At 56.7% G+C, this 23242-nt stretch overlaps 1 protein-coding gene across 48 annotated transcripts in view, besides 4 other annotated features; it reads left to right on the top strand.

Annotated features, from left to right (window-relative positions):
* The window catches only part of GAK (cyclin G associated kinase), an 83040-nt gene that overhangs the window by 14022 nt on the left and 45776 nt on the right, over nucleotides 1–23242 (top strand). For 16 of the 48 annotated variants that reach the window (XM_047450018.1, XM_047450026.1, XM_047450007.1 and 13 more), the window contains exons 2-7: nucleotides 4627–4688; nucleotides 5501–5560; nucleotides 6508–6622; nucleotides 13516–13658; nucleotides 20137–20262; nucleotides 21746–21835. In XM_047450018.1, coding sequence (XP_047305974.1) covers nucleotides 4627–4688; nucleotides 5501–5560; nucleotides 6508–6622; nucleotides 13516–13658; nucleotides 20137–20262; nucleotides 21746–21835 — 596 coding nt within the window. Of the gene's footprint in view, nucleotides 1–2537; nucleotides 2798–3015; nucleotides 3075–4626; nucleotides 4689–5500; nucleotides 6266–6452; nucleotides 6623–13515; nucleotides 13659–13836; nucleotides 13897–20136; nucleotides 20263–21745; nucleotides 21836–23242 lie in introns of those variants that run through there. The other 32 variants (XM_047450028.1, XM_047450024.1, XM_047450025.1 and 29 more) reach the window with 13 other exon arrangements.
* Nucleotides 2988–3167: a silencer, noted in NCBI's record as "silent region_15112". NCBI's record gives its function as "represses an Ori minimal core promoter by ATAC-STARR-seq in GM12878 lymphoblastoid cells {active_cell/tissue: GM12878}" and the evidence as "EXISTENCE:reporter gene assay evidence [ECO:0000049][PMID:35858748]".
* Nucleotides 4595–5500: an enhancer, noted in NCBI's record as "H3K27ac-H3K4me1 hESC enhancer chr4:906583-907488 (GRCh37/hg19 assembly coordinates)". NCBI's record gives its function as "activates a minimal SCP1, AML or CMV promoter by ChIP-STARR-seq in naive H9 embryonic stem cells {active_cell/tissue: H9 hESC(naive)}" and the evidence as "EXISTENCE:reporter gene assay evidence [ECO:0000049][PMID:30033119]".
* Nucleotides 5501–6406: an enhancer, noted in NCBI's record as "H3K4me1 hESC enhancer chr4:905677-906582 (GRCh37/hg19 assembly coordinates)". NCBI's record gives its function as "activates a minimal SCP1, AML or CMV promoter by ChIP-STARR-seq in naive H9 embryonic stem cells {active_cell/tissue: H9 hESC(naive)}" and the evidence as "EXISTENCE:reporter gene assay evidence [ECO:0000049][PMID:30033119]".
* Nucleotides 5592–5750: a silencer, noted in NCBI's record as "fragment chr4:906333-906491 (GRCh37/hg19 assembly coordinates)". NCBI's record gives its function as "represses an EF-1alpha promoter that drives an FKBP-Casp9 reporter gene in an ReSE screen in K562 erythroleukemia cells {active_cell/tissue: K562}" and the evidence as "EXISTENCE:reporter gene assay evidence [ECO:0000049][PMID:32094911]".

Genomic DNA, 23242 nt, shown 5'->3' with positions numbered 1-23242 from the left:
TTAAGTCTTATGTTAGAAGTCAGTTTTTTGTAGTTGTTGTTTCTAAATTTTGTTGGTGATCCAGTGTTCCCTATTCTGCTAATGTTGTTTACTACAGTGATTGATTTTTTAATGTTACACCAACCTTGCATTCCTGGGATGAATACCACCTGGTCATGATGTAGTATCCTTATTATGTTTTGCTGGAATCAATTTGCCAGTATTTTCTTGAGGATTTTTTGTGTCTATGGTAATGAGTGATCTCTTTCCTTAATTTGGTATTTATACCCTTCTTTGGTTAGTGTTATGCTAACTTCAAGCAATGAGCTGGGAACCCTTCTCCTCTATCTAATGAAAGACTTTATAAGCTTGTTGTGATTTCTTCCTTAAGTGTTTGATGTAATTTAGCAGTGGAGCCATCTGTTTTCTATTTTCTATTTCATGGATTTCCATTTACTTCCTTTCATCTGTGTTTTTCCTCACAGATTTATTTATTATTTAAATATTTTAACAGTTGAGATAAAAATGAGATATACAGGCTGCATGTTTTAAATGTTTCGGCACATGTCATGTATGTATGTGTGTGTCACACACTGTATCTGCCACGCTAATCAAGGCAGCAAACATGTGCGTCAGCGCCACGGTCTCCCTCCTCCCCACGGTAACCCTTCGCCCTGCTTTCCTGTTCCCATCCCAGGAAACCACTGATTGGCCTTCTGTTACTATAGATTCATTTGCATTTTCTAGAGTTTTCTGTACACTAACTGTATGTGTATATGTACTCTCTTTTTTTGGCCTGGCATTGGCCTTCTGTTACTATAGATCCATTTGTGTTTTCTAGAGTTTTCTGTACACTGACTGTATGTGTATATGTACTCTCTTTTTTTGGCATGGCATTGGCCTTCTGTTACTATAGATCCATTTGTGTTTTCTGGAGTTTTCTGTACACTGACTGTATGTGTGTGTATGTACTCTCTTTTTTTGGCCTGGCATTGGCCTTCTGTTACTATAGATTCATTTGCATTTTCTAGAGTTTTCTGTACACTAACTGTATGTGTGTGTATGTACTCTCTTTTTTTGGCCTGGCATTGGCCTTCTGTTACCATAGATCCATTTGCGTTTTCTGGAGTTTTCTGTACACTGACTGTATGTGTGTATGTACTCTCTTTTTTTGGCCTGGTCGTTTGTGTTTTCTGGAGTTTTCTGTACATTGACTGTATGTATGTGTATGTACTCTTTTTTCGCCTGGCATCTTTTACTCGGCATACTGCCTTTTCGTGTGTTATTCATGTTGTTGCATGTAACAGCAGTTTCCTCCTTTTTATTGCTAGGTAGTGTTAGAGGTGTGGGTAATTTGTTCATTCACCTGTTGATGGACATTTGGGTTGCTTCCATTTTTAGGCTATTGCACATGAAGCTGCTGTGTAGAAGTCTCTTTACGCACATGTGCCTTCATTTTTCTTGGGTAAATACACAGCAGCGTAATGTCAGGGCTGTATTGTTGATTTATGTTCACCTTTTTAAGAAATCGCCAACATGTTTTCCAGAGTGATTGTACCATTTTCCATTTCCAAAAGCTGTGCATAAGCATTCCAGTCGCTCCACATCCTCAGCGACACTTGGTCTGGGCGGTTTTTAAATGTCAAGTATTCTGCTAGGTATGGGGTCCTATCTTCGCGGTTTAAGTCTGCATTTCTCTAATGGGCAGTGGTGGGACACGTTGTGTACTTGTCACAAGTATATCTTTGGTGATGTGTCTATTCATATCTTTTGCACATTAAAAATTTTGTTGTTTTCTGGGCGTGGTGGCTCACACCTGTAGTCCCAGCACTTTGGGAGGCTAGACCCGCCTGGGCAACTTGGCGAAACCTCGTCTCTTCAAAGAATAAAAAAATTAGCCGGGTGTGGTGACGCATGCCTGTAGTCCCAGCTTCTTGGGAAGCTGAGGTGGGAGGATCACTTGAGCCCAGATGTCGAGGCAGTGGGTTGTGATAGTGCCACTGCACTCCATCCTGGTGACAGAGTAGGACCCTGTCTCAGAAGAAAAAAAAATTGTTGTTACTTGGATTTTTAAAATATTTTCTCGATAGAAGTCCTTTATTAGGTATATGATTTGCAAAACTTAGTAGTGATTTATCTTTTCATCCTCTGACCAGTTTTCAAAAAGCAGAAATTCCTGAAGTCCATTTATCATTATTTTTCTTTTATGGGTCCTGCTTTTGTGCTTATATCTAAAAAATCACTGCCTAACCTTGGGCATGTGGAAGCACAGTTGGTTTTTGTATGTTGCCCTTATATCCAACAACCATCCTGAATGCGTTTGTTATGGTAGCTTTTCTTTAGTAGATTTCACCAGATTTTCTGCATAGATAATCATGTCACCTGCAGATAAAAATAATTTTACTCCTTTTTTCATCTGGATGCCTTTTATTTCTTTTTCTTGACTGATGGCACCGGCGAGAACTTCCTCACAGTGTCGACCATCAGTGGTGAGAACAAGGATCCCCGCCTCCTTCCTGATCTCAGAAGGGAGGATTCGACATTGCACCACGAAATGCAGTGTTCCTGTTGGTCTCTCACAGATGCCGTCTATCAGGCTGGGGAGGTTTCTTTCTGTCCTCGTTTGCTGAGAGTTTTAAATTTCATGATGTAGTTTTTCCACTGCAGAAACCTAAAAGAAAACTAAGCAAATTAGACCCCAAAACAATAGAATTAAATTGATTTTCAAATGTTAAACCAACTCTGCTCCTGATGTCTTGGTGGGCTTGGTTTGCTGTTTTATGAAGAATTCTTGGGTCCACATTCGTGAGTGATGTTGGTGTGTATTCTCTTTTATGTCTTTTCCTCTTTTGGGCGTCGGGGAAGGAGGTCCCCTCTCTTGTTCTGGGTATTGGTGATCTGTCCTCTCTCTCTGGATCAGTCTGTCTAGAATTTATCAGTCTCGTTGGTCTTTGGAGAACTGCTTGTGGTTTTGTTTTTCCTTCTATTGACCTCTGTTCTTAGGTTATTCCTGTCTGTCTCTGGAGTAGAGGAAGTGAAAGGCAGTGGTGTATGCACTGGGGCCGCGCACGCTGGGGCTGAGTGCGGGGGGCCATGTACGCTGGGGCTGAGTGCACGGGGCCGTGTATGCTGGGGCTGTGTGTGTGGGGCCGTGTATACTGGGGCTGTGTGTGTGGGGCCGTGCACGCTGGGGCTGAGTGCGGGGGGCCGTGTACGCTGGGGCTGTGTGTGTGGGGCCGTGCACGCTGGGACTGTGTGTGTTGGCCGTGTGCGCTGGGGCTGTGTGTGTTGGGGGCCGTGTGCGCTGGGGCTGTGTGTGTTGGGGGCCGTGTACGCTGGACCTGTGTGTGTGTGGGGCCGTGTACGCTGGGGCTGTGTGTGTTGGGGGCCGTATATGCTGGGGCTGTGTGTGTGTGGGGCCGTGCACGCTGGGGCTGTGTGTGTGTGTGGGGCCGTGCATGCTGGAGCTATCTGTGTTGGGGGCCGTGTACGTTGGGGCTGTGTGTGTATGGGGCCGTGCACACTGGGGCTGTGTGTGTTGGGGGCCGTGTATGCTGGGGCTGTGTGTGGGGCCTTGCACGCTGGGGCTGAGTGCGGGGGGCCGTGTATGCTGGGGCTCTGTGTGTTGGGGGTGGGGCTGTGCACGCTGGGGCTGTGTGTGTGGGGCCGTGCACGCTAGGGCTGAGTGCGGGGGGCCGTGTACGCTGGGGCTATGTGTGTGGGGCCGTGCACCCTGGGGCTGTGTGTGGGGGGCCGTGCACGCTGGGGCTGTGTGTGTGTGGCCGTGCACGCTGGGGCTGTGTGTGTGTGGGGCCGTGCACGCTGGGGCTGTGTGTGTGTGGGGCCGTGCACACTGGGGCTGTGTGTGTGGGGGCCGTGCACGCTGGGGCTGTGTGTGTGTGGGGCTCTGTGTGTGGGGCCGTGCATGCTGGGGCTGTGTGTGTGGGGGCCGTGCACGCTGGGGCTGTGTTTGTGTGGGGCCGGGCACGCTGAGGCTGTGTGTGTGGGGCCTTGTACTCTGGGGCTGTGTGTGTGTGTGGCCGTGCACGCTGGGGCTGTGTGTGTGGGGGGGGGCCGTGCACGCTGGGGCTGTGTGTGTGGGGGCTGTGCACGCTGGGGCTGTGTATGTGTGGGGCCGTGCACGCTGGGGCTGTGTGTGTGGGGGCCGTGCACGCTGGGGCTGTGTGTGTGGGGCCGTGCACGCTGGGGCTGTGTGTGTGGGGCCGTGCACGCTGGGGCTGTGTGTGTGTGGGGGCCGTGCACGCTGGGGCTGTGTGTGTGGGGCCGTGCACGCTGGGGCTGTGTGTGTGGGGCCGTGCACGCTGGGGCTGTGTGTGTGGGGGCCGTGCACGCTGGGGCTGTGTGTGTGTGGGGCCGTGCACGCTGGGGCTGTGTGTGTGTGTGGGGCCGTGCACGCTGGGGCTGTGTGTGTGTGGGGGGGCCGTGCACGCTGGGGCTGTGTGTGTGGGGGCATGTATGCTGGGGCTGTGTTTGCGGGGGGCGTGTACGCTGGGGCCATTATGTTTTGTAGAAAACTGCTGGCCACGCCACAAGTCAATTTGTATTTTACTTAGTGAAGGTATTTTTAAAGCCTGATATGTTAAATAAAATCATAGCATTGAACTGACAAGTCTTTTTAATTTTCAGGAGGGTTTGCATTTGTGTATGAAGCTCAAGATGTGGGGAGTGGCAGAGAGTATGCATTAAAGGTAATGAACCATTTAACGCCTTCTCTGGATTTCTGACGTATGTAAAGGGACTGTCTGGTGACAGTCTTTTCAGGGATGCGTCCCTGTTACGTACTTTGTTTCCTTTTACAGCCTGGACATACTTGTCCCTTTTGCTTCTGCTGAATCTCAGCAGCCTTGGGCACTGCAGGAGCCTTGGTCTCCAGCTTTGGGCTTCACACTCCTGTGGCCCTGCCTGCCCTGTGGCAGGGGCTGTGCTGGGGGTGACCTCATGGTGGGGTCATGCCCTCTTGGCCTCCATGTGCCAAAATAAGGGCTCTATGAATACAAGGAGTTTAAAAGCTGCTTGTAAAAAATATTTGTTGCTAGCATTTCTGTAAATAGGGGTCACTGTGGGAGGGTCTGTACTGTGCAGTTTTGTCCTGAGACGTAAGAAGGCCCCATTTGCTGTCACCACGCTGGGCACCAGGGTGGCCCCGCCTTTGAGAGTGGGCATGAGTGGGCCTGTTGTCGTGGTCTGCACGCCTGCTGCCCCCGTGTCTGCAGAGCATTGCCGCTCTTCCTTCTTGTCTGTCTCATTTTACTCTGGCCCATTTGGGGAAAGGCTCCTGCTTTTGACTTTTCTTGTGTCCTTGCATCACAAAGATCTTTTGAGGGTCTTGAACCCCCAGCACGTTTTTACAGGGGTCAGAGGTGGAGACACACGAAACGGGGGGAGCTGTATTAGACACATTGCATTGCTCTGTTGCGTGCTTATGTCTGAGATGATGCATCGGGTGGAGTAGGAAGGTAAACTTGCTTTCATCTTTTGTGTGTGCTGTTTCCTGATACAGAGGCTATTATCCAATGAAGAGGAAAAGAACAGAGCCATCATTCAAGAAGTTTGCTTCATGGTATCCTTTTCCTGGAACCAGGAGCCAGCACGGTGGCTTTGGCAGGCACAGGCCTGCGTCAAGCTGTGACCGCCAGTGGCCAAGAGGCTGCTCCGTGACGTTGTCTTTCATGTGTTAAAATCGGCTTTTTGCTTTTACCAAACCTAGTTGTAGGCGACTTCTAGGAAGAAGCAGTTTTTTCTGTTTTTTTTTTACTGCCAGGGTAATAGTAGAAGATTCAGAAGTGTTGGGAATGAAGTTGTTCCTACCCAAGAGGTCTCCCTGCCCAGTGGATGGGCTGGTTACCACAGGGGGCCCTTGCCCGGCCCGGCCCCCTCAGCTCCTCCGGAGACCTGGCTGAGAGCCGTGCAGATGGCCTGGCTCCCACAGGCCCCGATGTGGCTTCTCAGCCGCCCCTCTCGTCCCTTCTCAGGCTGTCCCAGCATGACTGGGCGGGGCATCTCCCGGCGCTGACAGAGGATCTGGGGGCTGCACTCCCTGTCCACTGCCACATGTCCCTCCTGAGCCTGGAGTCTTCGGCCCTGGCTGCCCTCAGACTCTGCCTCTCTTTCCTCTCCTAGCTCTGTTCACTCGGAGAGCCCGCCGGCTGCCTGAGTGTGGGTTCGGGTGGACACAGCCACGCCGCAGCCTCCCTGCGCACAGCCCCCTGAGGGCCCTGCCTCCTCCTGCCACGCGCGGGATGGACTTTGGTGTCGCTGTGGTCAGGTGTGTGTGGCCGGTGTGCCTGCCTTTGTCCCCGCCCTCTCCTGCAGCTCCTCCTGCCTCTGTCTGCCTTTCTCTCGGTCGTCCACTGCTCTCTCCCTCATCTTCCGCTCTGACGTCTAAAATTGTAAGGGTTCGATTCAAGTATTCTGACTTCAGTGTGTTAATATTGTCTACATTTATTTTGAAGTGCACAGAACTGTGGACATGGTTATGTACGTTCTCCTTTAACAAGACAACTGCAGAAAAAGCTTTCCGGCCACCCGAACATTGTCCAGTTTTGTTCTGCAGCGTCTATAGGAAAAGAGGAGTCAGACACGGGGCAGGCTGAGTTCCTCTTGCTCACAGAGCTCTGTAAAGGTAACGTCCTGTGAAGGCCGGCTTGGTGCCATCTAACCCAGCAGAGGCCGGCTTGATGCCTCCTAACCCAGCTGCATGGCTGTGAAACATGCCCGGCATCTTCTCTCAAGCTGTGTTGGTCTTAGCGGGAAGCGCGGGCAGCTCTCTGACAGTAGTTCTGTGAGAGGCCCACGCTGACGCCCAGTGAGCTTCCCACTGTCCCGGTGGGCCACCTGCATCGTCTCCTCGTGGAGCTGCGGGCAGCCAGAGAGCCGGGCTCCCATCCTGCCTGTCTCCAGTGGCAGCACGGGGTAGAGCGTGGTGGCCTTCCGTGAGTGGTGTTTAGCAGGGGTGGAGGAGCGTCTGTCCTTCTCAGGGCTCTGGGGTCCCTGTGGGGTGGAGCGTGGTGGCCTTCCATGAGCGGTGTTGAGCAGGGTGGAGGAGTGCTGCTGTCCGTCCTTGTCAGGGGCTCTGGGGTCCTGGCAAGGAGAAGAGAGGCCGCAGAGGTGGACAACTCCAGGTCCCTCTGTGGGTGCCCAGCCTCATCAGGGTTGAGCCCAGGAAGATGGCACAACGACTCCATGGTCCGTTTGTCAGGACAGGAAGAGAGGCCGGTGGGTTGGGGTGGTGCTTTCGGAGAGTTCTAGGGGCAGAGTGGTCTGTGTGAGTGACTGCGGGGGATGTCGTGTTGGTGTCACCGGAGCCCACGCTGACTGGCCGGAGACCTGGCCTGACCCTGCTGAGCCTCAGGCTGTGTCTGCAAAGGGGAAACAAGACCTGTGCCTCAGAGGGCGGCTCCACCCCCAGCCCTGCCTCGTGCCGATGCCCTCCAGAACTCCTGTGCCAGGTGACGAGGGGAAGTCGAGCACTCGGGGAGGCCTCAGAGCTGTGGCCTGGCCGGTGAGGGGGTGGTGACACTAGTGACCCCTGCGTCTGTCCCCCAGGCAGGGAGAGAGGGGAGAGGAGAGGCCGGGAGCAGCAGGGGAGACTGAGGCAGGGAGTCCCACAGAAGGAAGCCTGTGGGGAGGGCACCTGTAGCCGCGTGAGATCTGTCGTCCACAAGCCAGCCCCTGCTCAGCAGCCAGGAGGAGCTGTTCCCGCAGGCCGGCTAGCGCAGGCCTGAAGGGACAGGTAGGGGTGGGGCAGCAGGTTAGCAGAGAGGGCAGCAGGAGGGGCATGTGTCCAGAAATGGAGGGCGAGCAAGGGGGTTCTGAGCTGAGGGGGGACCCCTGCACTGAGCAGGGCCCTGAGCGTCGTGGAAGGGGCCCTGTGCTTAGTGGAGGGGGGACTGCACTTAGTGGGATGGGGGCATCCCGTGCTTTGTGGGGGGCCTGCATTTAGTTGGGGGGGCCCTGAGCTTCATGGAGGGGGACTGCACTTAGCGGGGGGCTCTGTACTGCTGAGGGCTGAGGGTAGGTGTCCCTGTGCTGAGCTGGGGGAGCCCTGTGCTGAGTGAGGGAGGGTGGACTGTGGGGTGTAAGCTGCTTGGATATAGCGGCTGCACCTGTCAGTGCCCTGTTGGGCAGGGTCTCTTCTCTGCAGCTGTGCCTGGGAGGAGCTGGGTGAGACCTGACTGCCTGCGGGCCCCTGGCTCTGCCCATGCTTCTCTGCCTGGGGGTCCCACCTGGCCCTTCCTTGATGCCACACCTGGCAGCTGGCCCAGGCCCCTCTGCGGCCCTCCAGCGCCTGTTGCCAGGGTTGTCCTGACGTGGGTGGCGGATGGGTGCTTGACGTGGCCGAGAAGTCTCGGGGGTTGGGGGTGGTCAGAGCCGCCTGCAGGCTGAGGAGATGCTGCCAGGTAGCCCCAGTTCTTCATCTGACACTGTGGGGATGTGCCGCTTGTGTTTCTCAGTGTTGTGTTCTGAAACGTCAAACTGGCGGAAAAGTTGAAGGCAGCACAAGGGGCGTCCATTGTCCACTTCCTGCTCATGGGGTTCCCCAGACTTGAGCGTGTCCCACGGCGGCTTTCCCTCTCTCCATTCTAACCGTTTAAAAATAAGTCGCAGACGTCAAGACCAGAAAGCCTCATAACTCTATACAGCCTGAGAGAAATTCCATGATGGCCACTGGTGTTTGTGCCCCTGAGAAGATCCTCGCGATTTGGTGAGGCTGTGCTGTGTGGTCCGTGCTGGGCCCTTCCCGTCCCTGTCTCTCCCATCCCTGACACGCCGCTCCCGGCCCCTCCCGTGCGTCCATGCAGTCCGTGCTGGGCTGTCTCCCCCATCCCTGACACGTCGCACCCGGCCCTTCCCGTGCGCATACCGGGGCCTCGTCAAGGCTCCTGTGTGTGTTCGGTTGAGGTGTCTGTCAGTCAATCTCTTGTTGTTCATGGCACTGTTTTCTCTGGATGTCCCTGGACTCTGACACCCGCTCCTGCGCTGCGCTTCTAGGGCCTCCTCCAGAGCTGGGAGGTGCTGAAACCAGTGGGATTAAGATTTGTCGGGAGCACGCATCACGCCGTGGGGCCTCCCGCTCGTGGTGTTACTTGTCAGTTTTCATTATAAAAGAATACATGCTGATTGACAAAATACAAATAACACAGAGTTAGGCCAGGCACGGTGGCTCACGCCTGTAATCCTAGCACTTTGGGAGGCCGAGGCGGGTGCATCGCTTGAGGTGAGGAGTTCGAGACTAGCCTGGCCAACATGGCTAAACCCCGTCTCTTTTGTATTGTAAAAATACAAAAATTAGCCAGGCATGGTAGTGGGGGCCTGTAATCCCAGCTACTCGGGAGGCTGAGGCAGGAGAGTTGCTTGAACCTGGGAGGTGGAGGTTGCAGTGAGCCGAGACTCTTGTCTCAAAAAAAACCAACAACAACCCAGAGTTTTATGAGTGCTTATAAAAATGGGATTTTACTTTATATAATTTTCCTTTTTAAAAAAATTGACCGTATCAGGCGTATTTTTTTTGGAGACAGGGTCTTGCTTTGTTGCCCAAGCTGGAGTGCAGTGATTCATAGCTCACTGTAGCTTCAAACTCCTGGGCTCAAGCAGTCCTCCCGCCTTAGCCTCTGGAGTAGCTGGGACTTCAGGTGTGCACCACCATGCCCAGCTAATTTTAAAGAGTAAACTTTTCTTAGAGACAGAGTCTCACTATGTTGCCAGGCCGGTCTTGAACACGCGAGCTCAAGCAACACCTGTAGCACTGGGATTACAGGTGTTGGCCCCTGTGCCTGGCTAAGTTTTGTATTTTTTGTAGAGATGGTGTCTTGCTGTGTTGCCCAGGCTGGTCTTGAACTCCTGGGCTCAGGTGATCCTCCCACCAAGGCCTCCTGAGGCGCTGGGATCGCTGGCGAGAGCACCCTGCTCAGGCCTCTTTCCACGTGGTGCGGTCGCTTCGTTCCATCCAGAAGGCTGCTTGGTTTTCCTGGTGTGGATGCATCACTGCGTCTTCTGTTTGAGGCCTGCGGGCTTTCTCCTGGAGCTGCAGCCTGCCTGCTGTGTGAGCCTTGCCGCACCCTCTGCCCAGCACACTTGGAGTAACTTGGATAAAGGCCAGACGGGGCTTCCTGTGGGTCTAGTGATGGATGTTTTGCTGATTATCTCCCTCGTTTGTCATTTCCGAGATCAGAAAGCCTTTGCGAGGGGTAAATCTTGGTTCTAGACATTCCGGCTTTGGAAGGCTTGAGCAGGACGGGTGTGAAAACTGAAGCTGCTCGGCGTCCAGTGTGTTCCCAGGATATGTGCACGAGGGAGCGGCGGGGACAGGGCCGGGGCCAGCGGCTCATCGCTGACCCTGCATGGGGTGGTGTGGGAAGGAGAGGGGCCGGGCCCAGCCCCTCAAGTCATAAATACACGAGGCAGACTAACGCATGCGCGCGCCAGCTCACTCCTGGGGACTGCCTGTCTGGAGCAGCATGTGCGGCTGAGAGCTGAGCTGCAGGGCTCTGTGGATGGCACAGCTGTGCCAGGGGAGAGCCGTGGCATCTCTGAGAAGCGGGAGGGATGTGGGCTCCCCCGTGCAGCTGCAGGTTCAGGGCTCACTGGAGGAGGCCTGGAGGTCGGGCTCCGGGGATGTGCCCGGTCCCTCCCATGAGGCAACCCCTCCAGTGTCCTCTGAGGGAAGAGCCACATACCGGTTCCCCACTCAGCCACATACAGAATTTTTACTTTTAAAAACCCCATTTATTCTCACTGAGAATGAGGCACTGAACAGGGGGCCCAGTTACCACTGAAACAGACTCGCCCATCCATGATGGCCAGCGTAGAGGGCAAGTCACCCCCACTCTGACTCCCCGGGCCTGGCCTCAGCCTCTCCCGGGTCTGTTCCTCTCTTTCTGAGCACCCCATTCCTTCTATGGGTGCCCCTCATTTTTCCTGAGAGCCCCCCTGTTTCTCAGAGGGTCAGCACAAAGCTTTTGAGGGAGCTGTGGTGAGGGCTGAGAGGGCTTTCACCTGGGGTTGAGGGCCAGGGCCGGCAGAGCTGGGGGAGTGGGAGGGCCCCTCAGCTGGGTGCAGGTGGGGGCAGTGCTGGGCTGTGCTGGGGACACGCAGGTGGGTCCGGTCTGTGAGTCGATTCTAGCGTGGCCCAGCCTGAGCTGTGGCAGGTCCCGACCGGCTCTCACACCATGCCTTCATTGTCAGTGGAATTGAGTCGGCTACACGCTCTGCTGTGTGCAGGCATCGGGGGCTCAGTGACTCGCCAGACACAGCTGATCCATGCCCATGGCAGGTGGTTGGGTGGCTCGAAGAGCCAGGGAGAGAATGAGTCCCAGGAGAAGGGTGCACGTTTAGGTGGTGTGGGCAGAGTTGGTTCCTTGGGAGGTGAGCAGAAGGGGCGGTCTGGGAGGCATCCTGGCCGCAGAAGCAGCTTGTGAGGGGTCCTGAGGCAGGGAGGAAGGGAGGCCAGTGTGGCTGGGAGCGCAAGCTCTGGCAGCGTGGGGGAGACCCTGAGTGTGGGTTCCGTGGGTGGTGGTACTGGCCTTGGCTCTGGGGCTGCAGGGGTCGTGGCCTTCAGGGGTGTGGAGTGGGATGAGCAGAGGGTGACGGTGGCTGCTCTGTAGAGAGCAGAGGCAGGAGCACGGGGCTGAAAAGATGGGGCACAAGATGCAGAGGCCCCAGGGATGATGCCACACATGGACTGTGGCCAGCTGAAGTGGGCAAGACCCAGGGTAAGATCAGGGTAGGAGCAGGATGGGTTGGGTCTGCACGTCTGTGGGGGCTGCATAGGGGTGCTGGGGTGACTGGCAGTGTGAATGCTTCAGTCCCCAGCAGGTCCTCAGCCCTGCGTGCTGCCCCGGCCCCACATCCCTGGTTTCCTGGTTGGGCCAGGGCTAGGGTGCCTGGAAGGTGCCAGCCATGGCAGGACGGGCTCCCTGGGGTGTGGGTCACGCACAGGCACTGATACTGTCGTGAATGTGAGAATGATCATTTGTCATCTGAGGACACTGAGTGTTCACTTAGAGGTTTGAGCACTTGTGTATTTGTAGTCATTTCTCTTTGTATCCATGTTAATGACATGCCTGGCTCGGTTGCCAGGACACAGATGTGATTCTCACGTTAACGGCTCGCCGGCTCGGCTGCTGAGATGCCAGTGTGGTTCTCACGTTAATGGCTTGCCACCTCGGCTGCTGGGACGCCAATGTAGTTCTCATGTTAACGGCACGCCAGCTCAACTGCTGGGATGCCGATGTGGTTCTCACGTTAACGGCATGCCAGCTCAGCTGCTGGGATGCTGACGCGGTTGTTGCTTCGGTGACGCTTGGGCGTCTTGCCCCCTGGCCTCTGCTCTGTGTGTGACTTGACTGTGGGGCTGCTCCGAGCCCACCCCTGCCACTGGGTGGTGGTCCCACACACGGGGCTGAGGTGGGCATCCTCATACCTGCAGCCCTTTCTGCAGCAGCTGAAGGAAGGAAAGGTGGGAGCGGCACTCAGGGTGGGCTTAACTGGGACTGTGGCTGGAAAAGGCAGCGTGGCCTGGTGTGGTGGCGTCTGCAGTAACGTGGCCTGGGGTGTGGCGGAGTCCGTAGCATGGCCTGGGGCATGGCAGAGTTCAAAGTGTGGTGTGGCGTCTGTAATGTGGCCCAACGTGGCAGAGTCCGTGGCATGGCCTGGGGCGTGGCAGAGTCCGAAGCGTGGCCTGGTTTGGCGGAGTCCGTAACGTGGCCTGGGGCGTGGCGAAGTCCGTAGCATGGCCTGGGGCGTGGCGGAGTCCGTAGCGTGGCATGGGGCGTGGCGGAGTCCGTAGCGTGGCATGGGGCGTGGCGGAGTCCGTAGCATGGCATGGGGCGTGGCGGAGCCCCTAGCGTGGCGCGGCGTGGCAGAGTCTGTAGCGTGGCCTGGGGCCAGGGAGGGCAGAGCACTGATTGCTCCACGGTGATGATGTTAACCGTAGAGAGTCGTGACTGCAAGTTGTCCAGGTTCTTGGCATTTTGAACAAACTGGACAGAACGCCCAGCGAAACAAAGAAAGAATGAAGCAACAAAAGAACGAAAGCGGGAATTTATTGAAAACAAAAGTACACTCCACGGTGTGGGGGTGGCCCAAGCAGCGGCTCAAGGGCCCAGATGCAGAATCTTCTCGGGTCCAAATACCCCCTAGAGGTTTCCCACTGGCCACTTTGTGCTCACCTCATGTAAACGAAGTGGTAGCCCGCCATCAGCCTAATGGTTGCAGAAAGCAGCCAACCAGAAGGTCACACTCCTGTGCAAACATCTGATTGGTTACGAAAAGCAATCAGAAGACAGGGTGAAGTTACAGAGTTGCAAACGAAGAGGAGATCTGCAGTCAGGCAGTTTCCCATCTGCCAGGCAGAAAAGGTCAAAGGGAGTCACCTCTGGTCGTTTTGTTACTTAGGTGTGGAAAGTCAGGGTTTTCCTTTCCATTTAGTTCTGGGAAGTCCGCGTGAAACAGCCCTAGGTTCCCTGTCTCCGGACCCTGTTCTCCTGCCTCCATGTGAGTTTCATTCTCTTTTAGGGCAGCTGGTGGAATTTTTGAAGAAAATGGAATCTCGAGGCCCCCTTTCGTGCGACACGGTTCTGAAGATCTTCTACCAGACGTGCCGCGCCGTGCAGCACATGCACCGGCAGAAGCCGCCCATCATCCACAGGGACCTCAAGGTAGTGGCTCCCTCCACACGCGGCTGCCAAGGCCTCTGTGTGCGGGTCCCACTCGGTTAGGAGCCGCCCATCATCCACAGGGACCTCAAGGTAGCGGCTGCTGAGGCCTCTGTGTGCGGGTCCCGCTCGGTTAGGAGCCGCCCATCATCCACAGGGACCTCAAGGTAGCGGCTGCTGAGGCCTCTGTGTGCGGGTCCCGCTCGGTTAGGAGCCGCCCATCATCCACAGGGACCTCAAGGTAGTGGCTCCCTCCACACGCGGCTGCCAAGGCCTCTGTGTGCGGGTCCCGCTCGGTTAGGAGCCGCCCATCATCCACAGGGACCACAAGGTCGTGGCTCCCTCCACACGCGGCTGCCAAGGCCTCTGTGTGCGGGTCCCGCTCGGTTAGGAGCCGCCCATCATCCACAGGGACCACAAGGTAGTGGCTCCCTCCACACGCAGCTGCCAAGGCCTCTGTGTGCGGGTCCCACTCGGTTAGGAGCCGCCCATCATCCACAGGGACCACAAGGTAGTGGCTCCCTCCACACGCGGTTCACAGCCTCTGTGGGGGGCTCCCGCTCAGTTAGGATGCAGGGGTGAGAGCAGGTGAGGCTACACCATCTCACCTAGAAGATGTGCGTGAGCCTCTCAACAGTGGAAGCGGATCTTCCAGAAACGTTGCTTTTCCAGCCCTGAAGAAAATTAGCATCTGTCTCACAGGCCTTTGCCGACAGAGATCCCGGGATGGCCCCGCCTCCCTGCTGGGGGCCTTCACGCCCAGTTGGGGGTGCTCACAGCCTGGAGCTTCCGTCTGGAATACCAGGTCCCCATGCTGGATGCTTGCTCACTCCAGTTTCCGTGGGGAGCTGTGGACGAGGGTGCCCGCCGGTGGTGTCAGTTCAGGACCCTATTCCTGCTCACCCCACACTCCTTCCTCGGCCGCCCCCCCACCGCCCCCCGGTGGTGTCACTATAGGCCCCGCACTCCTGCTCACCCCACGCTCCTTCCTCAGTCCCCTGGTGGTGTCAGTTCAGGCCCCGCATTCCTGCTCATCCCACGCTCCTTCCTCAGCCCCCCAGTGGTGTTGGCCCAGGCCCCCAACTCCTGCTCACCCAGTGCCCCTTCCTTGGCCCCTGGGCAGTCCTGGACCCCACAGTGCCTCCCTGGTTCGGCCTCTTGGAGCTGGGAGGAAGCCTGGCGCTCCTCTGCCTGGCCCTGTCTCAGGCGCTGGGGTCGGGGGCCGGACCCCTTGCCTACTCAGCTTGAGGGGAGCTCTTTGCACTTCCTGACTGTCCCCCCACTGCACCTCCCCTTCCGTTCACCGGCAGACTCTCCTGCCCATCTCTCCTGTCACCACGGGTTTCTCCGAGGCGTGGCATCCCGGGGTTGGCGTGATGTGGGCATGAGCCACTGGCTGCATGTAAAAGGGCCGTCCTGCCCACCACACTGCCACACAGATGCTTCTAGACTGGGGCTGGGCTCGCGCTCCATCCCTGCCCACCACACCGCCACACAGGTGGTTCTGGGCCGGGGCTGGGCCTGCGCTCCGTGCTGCTGCCGGCACTGCGCGGTTTCCATGTGATGTGGCTGCTTCCCACAGCCCCACAGAGGACACTCCTGCCCCGTGGGCTGTCCATGCCCTGAGCTGCCTGTGTTGATTTTGGCTGGCCTGGTGGGGAGTATAGTCTGACGGGTTGTGATTTTGCCTTTTCCTGATGTTAATGAAGTTGAATGTTTGTTATAGTCATTCGGGTCTTGCTCTTCAGTAAACTTCCTTTTGTTTCTTGCCTTTTTCAAAGATTTTCCACTGGCTTGTGTGTTTGGTTCGTTGGAGCAGCTTGTGTATTCTCATAATCTGCTAAGTGTCGCCTGTGCTGCCGGCGTCTTCTGGTTTGTGGCCCAGTTTTCACTCCTGCTGTTGTGTTTTTTAAAAAACCTAGGACGTTGTGAGGCTTCTCCATTATCTGTGAAGCCTGTGCCTGGCCTGCCCATGGTGGGCCTCGTCCTCCGTGCTGAGGCTTTTGCTGAAGAGGTTTTTTGGGGTTTTTTTTTTTTTTTTTTGAGTCAGTCACTCTACAGCCCAGGCTGGAGTGCAGCGGCACTGACGGGGCTCACTGCCGCCTCGGCCGACTTGGCCCAGGTGATCTCCCACCTGAGCCTCCTGAGTAGCTGGGACCACAGGCGCACACCACGCCTGCCTAGTTTTTGTATTTTCAGTAGAAATGGGGTTTCACCATGTTGCCCAAGCTGGTCCAGAACTCCTGAGCTCGAGTGATCCACCCGCCTCAGCCTCTGAAAGGGGTCGATTCCAGGTGTGAGCCACCGCTCCCAGGCTGCCAAAGTTTTAAAGCCTTATCACTCCCAGATACTTTTGTCCATGTCTCTGGGGACGTGAGGACATTTCTGTTTTTTTTTTTTTTTTAGGCGGAGTCTTGCTCTGTTGCCCAGGCTGGAGTGCAGTGGCACGATCTCGGCTCATGCAGCCTCTGCCTCCTGGGTTCCAGCGATTCTCCTACCTCAGCCTCCCGAGTAGCTGGGATTACAGGCATATGCCACCACGCCGGGCTAATTTTTGTACTTTTAGTAGAGACAGGGTTTCACCATGTTGTCTAGGCTGGTTTCGAACTCCTGACCTCAAGTCACCCTCCCGCCTTGGCCTCCCACAGTGCTGGGATTACAGGCGTGAGACACCACGCCCGGCCAGGACATTTTTTATGTGGTTTTGACACCATTATCCGCAGTGAGGTGGGAGGAACCGAGCCTTGTCTCTTGCCCTCCTGTTCTCAGCCTTCCCTGGTTTTCCCAAAGTGTGGCTTCTCTCAGACCTCGCTAATCGGGAGCGGCGCCTCTGGCCACGGCTTGTGGAGGATGCCCTGTGCTGTCCTTGGCTCCCCGCCACTGCCCAGGCCAAGGGGACGAGGAGGCCAGTGAGGCCCCAGCCCCGTGGCGTCTCTTGTGGAGCACGGAGCTGTGTTTCAGATCCTGCTCCCAGCACCCGCCTCAGCTGCTCCTCCAGCTGCTGAAATCTACCTGGCCTGTGTCCAGAGGTTTCGTTCATCTGGAATTGACCTTGTGTGACCTGAGGTGGGAGCTGTATCCTTGTGTCTACCTGGCCCTGCACCCCGTGCATCAGCTCATGTCTGCCCATGCAGCCACCTGGGCCCCGCCTCCTCTCCAGCGTCTGCTCGTGGGTGCCTAGGAGGCCTCAGAGCCCCCCAGCTCTCCCCGTGTGCCCTAGGTGGGGGATCCAAGGCCGTGGCTCTCCACGTGTGCCCCGGGTGGGAGGCCCAAGGCCGTGGCTCTCCACGTGTGCCCTGGGTGGGGGATCCAAGGCCGTGGCTCTCCCCGTGTGCCCTGGGTGGGGGATCCAAGGCCGTGGCTCTCCCTGTGTGCCCTGGGTGGGGGTGCCTAAGCCGTGGGCACCCATGCTGAGCTGTTCTTAACTGCACAGGCTCATTCCGCCTCAGCCTGCCTCAGCCCACCCAGGGCCAAGGCTCTGGCAGGCAGCTTCCCTCTGTGTTTCTCTGGTTAGGGCTGCCTTTTCTCTACTTGGCTGTACACTCCTACTTTATAGCACAGGTGTCTTCACGTAGATTTTGAAAATGGGTAAGTGTGGCCTTTTTCGTTTGTCCCCTGAACTCAGAGGGCCTAGAATGCCAGGGTGTAAGGTGGCCGACTGGACAGATGCCCCATGGCAGAAGCCTGTGGGCACCGCCATAGAGCCTGCTCCTGAGCCCCAGGCCCTTTCGCTCCCATGGCCACCGCTGTGGAGCCTGCTCCTGAGCCATGCCCCAGGCCCTTTCACCCCTTCTCCTTCCTTTCCTCCCTCCCTCTCTTCCTTCTGTTTCTTCTTTCCTTGTATTTTACTTTTCTAAAAGTACATTCTGCCCAGCACACAGGGTTGCTTTTGAGGGAAGCTTCTTCAAGGTTGCAAGCAAGACCCCTGGTTTCCAGAAACCCATGCGCCTGAGGCCCCATTCTGACGGAAGGGGCTGCAGGGCTCCATGAGGGGCCAGTCCTGCCCGTGGAAGGTGCTGTTTGCTGTCTGGGTGGTTCTTCCTGAGGAGTCTCTGAGTGGTGGATTTTCTCATGACACCGAGACCCTCCTGGTTCGCATTTTTGAAGTGTGATGGGTCGTGTAGCGGGGCTTGAGTGTGTATTTTAAGGAGAACAGAAACAGAAGGGTTGAATTGGTGAAGAATCCGTGTCTGTGAGCCAGGCCTGCACTTCACAGCACTGGCCTTGCTGCTGCTCCACAGCGGCGTGGCGGGAACCCAGGCCAGCCCTGCAGCCCGCGTGTGTTCACCTGTGGCCTCCGCCGTGGGAGTCTGGACGGCTGTTTGCGGAGGGGCAGGCAGCACACGTGGCCCCACTCGCCTGCCCCGTGCGTCGTCCTGCTGTGCGCACAGCTTCGTCTCTGTTGGCTGTAGAATGGGAACGGGCACAGGTGGCCCCACTCGCCTGCCCTGTGCATCGTCCTGCTGTGCGCACAGCTTCGTCTCTGTTGGCTGTAGAATGGGAACGGGCACACGCGAGGGGATGGGCACTCCTGGGCCTTCAGTGGCCGTGTGCCACTGCATCTCCCCGCTGTGTGCTCTGCATCCGAGCCAGGGTCGCTGATCTTTTCTCTGGGCGTCCTGTGAGGGGAGCCTCGCCCCACGCTCTGCATCTGATTTTCTTGCTCAGCCCTGTGGTTCAGAGGCCCCGGTCCTGTATGTGGCCCGCATCTCCTCGGGGGCCAGTGGTGGCCTTAGGCTTCACTGGGTTTCTCTGGTCGGCCATGGGTGGCATGTGTGTCCGTTTCTTTCCCTTGTTTATGGTGAGCCATCCTGTCTGCACCACGTGGACAGCCTGTTCAGCTTGCTGGTCCGCGGAGCAGGCGTCCTCTCTAGGACTGGGGTCTGCAGGGCGCTGTGGTTGGAGAGCGTCTGCATCTAACCCTGGGCGTCCCCTTGCACTCTTGGATGCCACGGCTCTGCACTTTGCTGTCCTGGGGCATGGCGGGTGCTGCTCCCTCAGCCTGTCCTGGGTGCCCATGGCCTTAGTTTGCATTTTTTCTCCTGTCGATGAGGCTGGCTTATCAGAACTTGGGCTTCCTCTGGGAAAATGCCTGCCTTTCCTCGACTTGCCTTCCTCTCGCTGCCTGTGTGAGCCCATACTGACCGCGTGCATGCCGAGCACCTTCCGTCCGTGGCTGGTGTGCTGCCCTCTCGGAGCCCTGTGCTGCCTGTGGGAGCCCGTACTGACCGCGTGTGTGCCGAGCACCTTCCATCTGTGGCTGGCGTGCTGCCCTCTTGGAGCCCTGTGCTGGCATTGTTCTTCCTCTCCAGAGGGATGCCTGTGCTGGCCATCCTGCCACGTCTGTGCTGTCTGTCTTGTTGAAGAAGCCGCTCCTTCCCTATCTCAGAAGGAGCTCCTCTGGGCCATCTTCCGAAAGATCTGTGGTTTGCCTAAATGTTGGGGCTGAGGCTTCCTTGATTGTGTGAGCTGGGGGCGAGGCTTTCTCCTTTCGTTCCACATGGATGCCTGGTGCTGGCAGCTGTTTTGCCATGGCTCTGCCATTAAGATGGGTGTTGTGTGGGGCGTGAGCACTGTGGGGCTGAGTCACTGCGTTGCTGCCTTGTCACGCGTGCAGCCTCTGGCGTCCGTGGCTTCTCAGCAGCACTCGCTGGATTCCCTGTTTGGCCCGAGCTCCCATGCCCTGTTATCAGAGCTGCGCCAGAAGGTGTAATGTGGGCTTCACAATTGTGTGGCCCTTTCTAGTTCTTTGTGTCTCTGTATACTTTTTTTTTTTTGAGTCGGAGTCTTGCCCTGTCACCCAGGCTGGAGTGCAGCGGCGCAATCTCGGTTCACTGCAGCCTCCGCCTCCCAAGTTCAAGCGATTCTCCTGCCTCAGCCTCCTGAGTAGCTGGGACTACAGGCGCCCGCCACCATGCCTGGCTAATTTTTGTATTTTTTAGTAGAGACGAGGTTTTACCATGTTGGTCAGGCGTGTCTCGAACTCCTGACCTCAGGTGATCCGCCCGCCTTGGCCTCCCAAAGTGCTGGGATTACAGGCGTGAGCCACCACGCCCGGCCTGTGAGCCCCATTATTAACTGGATTATCTTTCTTTGATTTATGGGTGGTTTTTAATTTTCTGCTTTTTATTTTTCTGAATTACACATATTACATTTGATCAGAAGTAATTTAAGACATCTTTGAGGAAGGCTCATTTACTGAACTCTGTGAAATCCCTCAGCCCCTCGGGGCCCGCTTCTCAGGCCGGCCCACCCGCCAGGGCCCCTCTGCCTAGGCCTGGAGCGGCCCCTGCACCCCGAGCTGCTGGTGCAGAGCTGGCTGTGTCCGCAGGTGTGAGGTGCTGCAGGCACCCGGCAGCCGTGGCCCTGGGCGAGTGCTGTCTGCGAAGGGCCCTGGCTGTGTCTCACACCCGTTCGTTTTCCCTGAAGTCCCATCTCTGTCTACGCCAAGTTCACGGGGCTGTCTTGTGGAATTTTACAGGTTGAGAACTTGTTGCTTAGTAACCAAGGGACCATTAAGCTGTGTGACTTTGGCAGTGCCACGACCATCTCGCACTACCCTGACTACAGCTGGAGCGCCCAGAGGCGAGCCCTGGTGGAGGAAGAGGTGAGCTGAGTGGGGCCTATGCTGGGGGAAGCTGGCCCTTCCCACATTCCACGCCCTGAGTGCGGAGTGCTGTTTTCCGCCGGGGTGCTTTGAGTCTCGCTCTGTCACCAGGCTGGAGTGCAGTGGTGCAATCCCGGCTCACTGCAACCTCCGCCTCCTGGGTTCAAGCGATTCTTCTGCCTCTGCCTCCCGAGTAGCTGGGGTTACAGGCACACACCACCACGCCCAGCTAATTTTTGTGTTTTTGGTAGGGACGGGGTTTCACCGTGTTGGCCAGGATGGTCTCTATCTCTTGACGTCATTTGTGATCCACCCGCGTCAGCCTCCCAAAGTGCTGGGATTACAGGCGTGAGCAATGTAATAAACAGACTTTATTTTTTAGAGCAGTTGAAGGTAACAGGAAGTGGAGCTGAAAACACAGGGTGGCCCCATCCATGCCCTCTCACAGCCCCTCCTTCCTCTGAGCCCCTCACGTCCTTGGCTCTCCTCCGAAGCTTCTTTTCCCAGAGATGGGCAGATAGATGCCGTCTCTGCCCACACGTAGCCTGCTCTCACCCTGTGTCTTGGAGCTGGAGGAGTTAACTTGCGCTCTCTGCACTTGGGCCTTCTTGCTCTTGTGTCTTGCATTGGTAGCTGACTGTCCCGGCCTCAGGCAGGTCATTCCTGGAAAGCAGGTCTTCGTGCTTTTCAGCATGAGTGGAGGGCGCTTTATCCTGCTTTCCGTAAGCTCTCATTTTCCCATTCCCTTTAAGAAATTGTGGCCTGCCCAAGGCCGTGCGCTGTCCTGCTGTATAACTGCAGAGCCCACTTGCCCCCTGCTCTCCTGTGAATCTGCAGCTGAGGATGGGGTTTGTGTGTCTGCCGTGCACGGAGATTCACTGTCTCCTCACAGCTCTGCGGCCCCAGCCTCTGCCTCTCACAACATGTCTGCCATGCACGGAGATTCACTCTCTCCTCACAGCTCTGTGGCCCCAGCCTCTGCCTCTCGCAAGTGCCTCCGTGTGTTTGTGAGGCTCTCCATTGTTAACCTTGAACCAGTCGGGTGAGCTTGGGTGGACGGCTTCCTCCTCCCAGATACCCTCACGTACCCTGGGGTTCTGGGTGTCACAGAAGCTGCTCTGGGTGCGGCCACTCTGGAGCGGGGCCCTTGTGCCAGGTGAGACACCCTTCTCCTCAGCAAGCGGACTTGGTGCGCAGCAGGCCAATACGTCGGTGCCGACATGCCATGAAGCACGGGAGGCCGTAGGAGATTGAGGGAGGTGAATGACTCAGTCCTCATCGTAAGGAGCGCGCTGAGGCCGAAGATGAGCAGCGGAGCTGGTGCATGGGGCCGACTGGCCTGAGGTCATCCCGGGGCATAGTGTGCGGGACAGGCTGCCCCTCAGTCTGCTGTGCATTTGGAAAGCTGCACGGAAGTGGTGCAACATAAAAAATACTGTTTGTGGGATGCAACTTTTCCTTTGAAATGTTTGTATTTTTTCAGATCACGAGGAATACAACACCAATGTATAGAACACCAGAAATCATAGACTTGTATTCCAACTTCCCGATCGGCGAGAAGCAGGATATCTGGGTGAGGTCTGGCGCCTCTCAGTGGCAGTGCCTGGCTCCGTGCGCCCTACTTAACCTGAGGCGGCGTGGGCCGGGCACCTGCCACTCGGAACTGGCCTGCCTCCTCCACCCCCTCTTCCCCTCCCGTCCCCTTTTCTTTTTCCTTTCCTTAAGAATCACTGTGGCTGCCACTGTTTTTTTGGGTTTTTTTGGAGACAGGGTCTTCCTCTGTCACCCAGGCTGGAGTGCAGTGGTGTGACCTCGGCTCAGGCTCACCGCAGCCTCCCGCCCCTGGGCTCAAGGGATCCTCCCACCTCAGCCTCCCGAGTAGCTGGGACCACAGGTGCTCACCACCATGCCCGGCTATTATTTTGTATTTTTGGTAGAAGGGGTGGTCTCACCATGTCGCCCAGGCCGGTCTCGAACTCCTGAGCTCAAGCGGTCCACCTGCCTCAGCCTCCCAAAGTGCTGCGATTACAGGCTTGAGCCACTGCACCCTGCCCAACCTTGACTACTTCTAATAGGGATGAGTCGAGTAGCAGTTGGGGGCGTCCTGTGCGGCTGGGTCTGCCTGAGGCTCCCCTCGGCCCCGTCCATGGCTTGTTGTGCATCTGGCCCTGAGTGCCTTGGCCCAGGAGTGTCCCTGCCACACCCCAGCCTTGCTGCGCTCAGAGCCAGGCCAGAGTGAGGGCTGAGCCTGATGGCTGGGGTGGTCTCCTGCGTCCTCCCTCATCCCTGCATCTCTCCAAGGCCATGTCCCCATTGACCGAGGGTGACCACGCGTGGAGGGTGTCCTGCCTTGTGGTTCTTTTGACGTCCCCTTACCCCGTCATTCAGCCACCAGGTGCGGCAGTTGGCCCTCCGTAGTGTATTTGCCTACGGACCGGGTCAGCCGTGCCATCAGCCACAGCACATGGGCTGAAGGCTGAGACAGCACGTGGGGCTGCAGGCTGAGACAGTATGTGGGCTGTAGGCTGAGGCCCTGTGTCCCTTGAGGAGTGTGGAAGGATGGGGCCACGTGTGTGGTCATTGCCTGTGTTCTTGGCCCACCCTGGTGACTGGTCCTCTGCACATCCCGCACGAGGACACTCCTGGCCGGCTCTTGCTCGGCCTGGGGTCCCGGTGTGAGCTCTTACTCTTGGCTGGATAAGATCCTGATGCCGAAGTAATCACCAGTCCCTTCTCTGGGCTCACATATTGGGTGATTGACGAGAAGTCGCTGATTGTTCAAGGCCAGTTCTGCGAAAATCCTGAGCAGACTGAGGAGGCTGCTTCCTGCAGCTTCTGCCCTGTGCCCTACACCCTGCATATGGGGTCAGTTCTGAAAAGTGGGTCTCTGCTGTTGCCAAGGACAGGACAGGTGCCTTGCCCCTCGCATAGCACACAGCAGGGTCTGTGCTGGTCCCACCAGCTCATAGATCTTCAGTGC

Source organism: Homo sapiens, chromosome 4, assembly GCF_000001405.40.
Source record: "Homo sapiens chromosome 4, GRCh38.p14 Primary Assembly".
NCBI lineage: Eukaryota > Metazoa > Chordata > Mammalia > Primates > Hominidae > Homo > Homo sapiens.
This window is presented reverse-complemented; position numbering and strand designations above follow the sequence as displayed.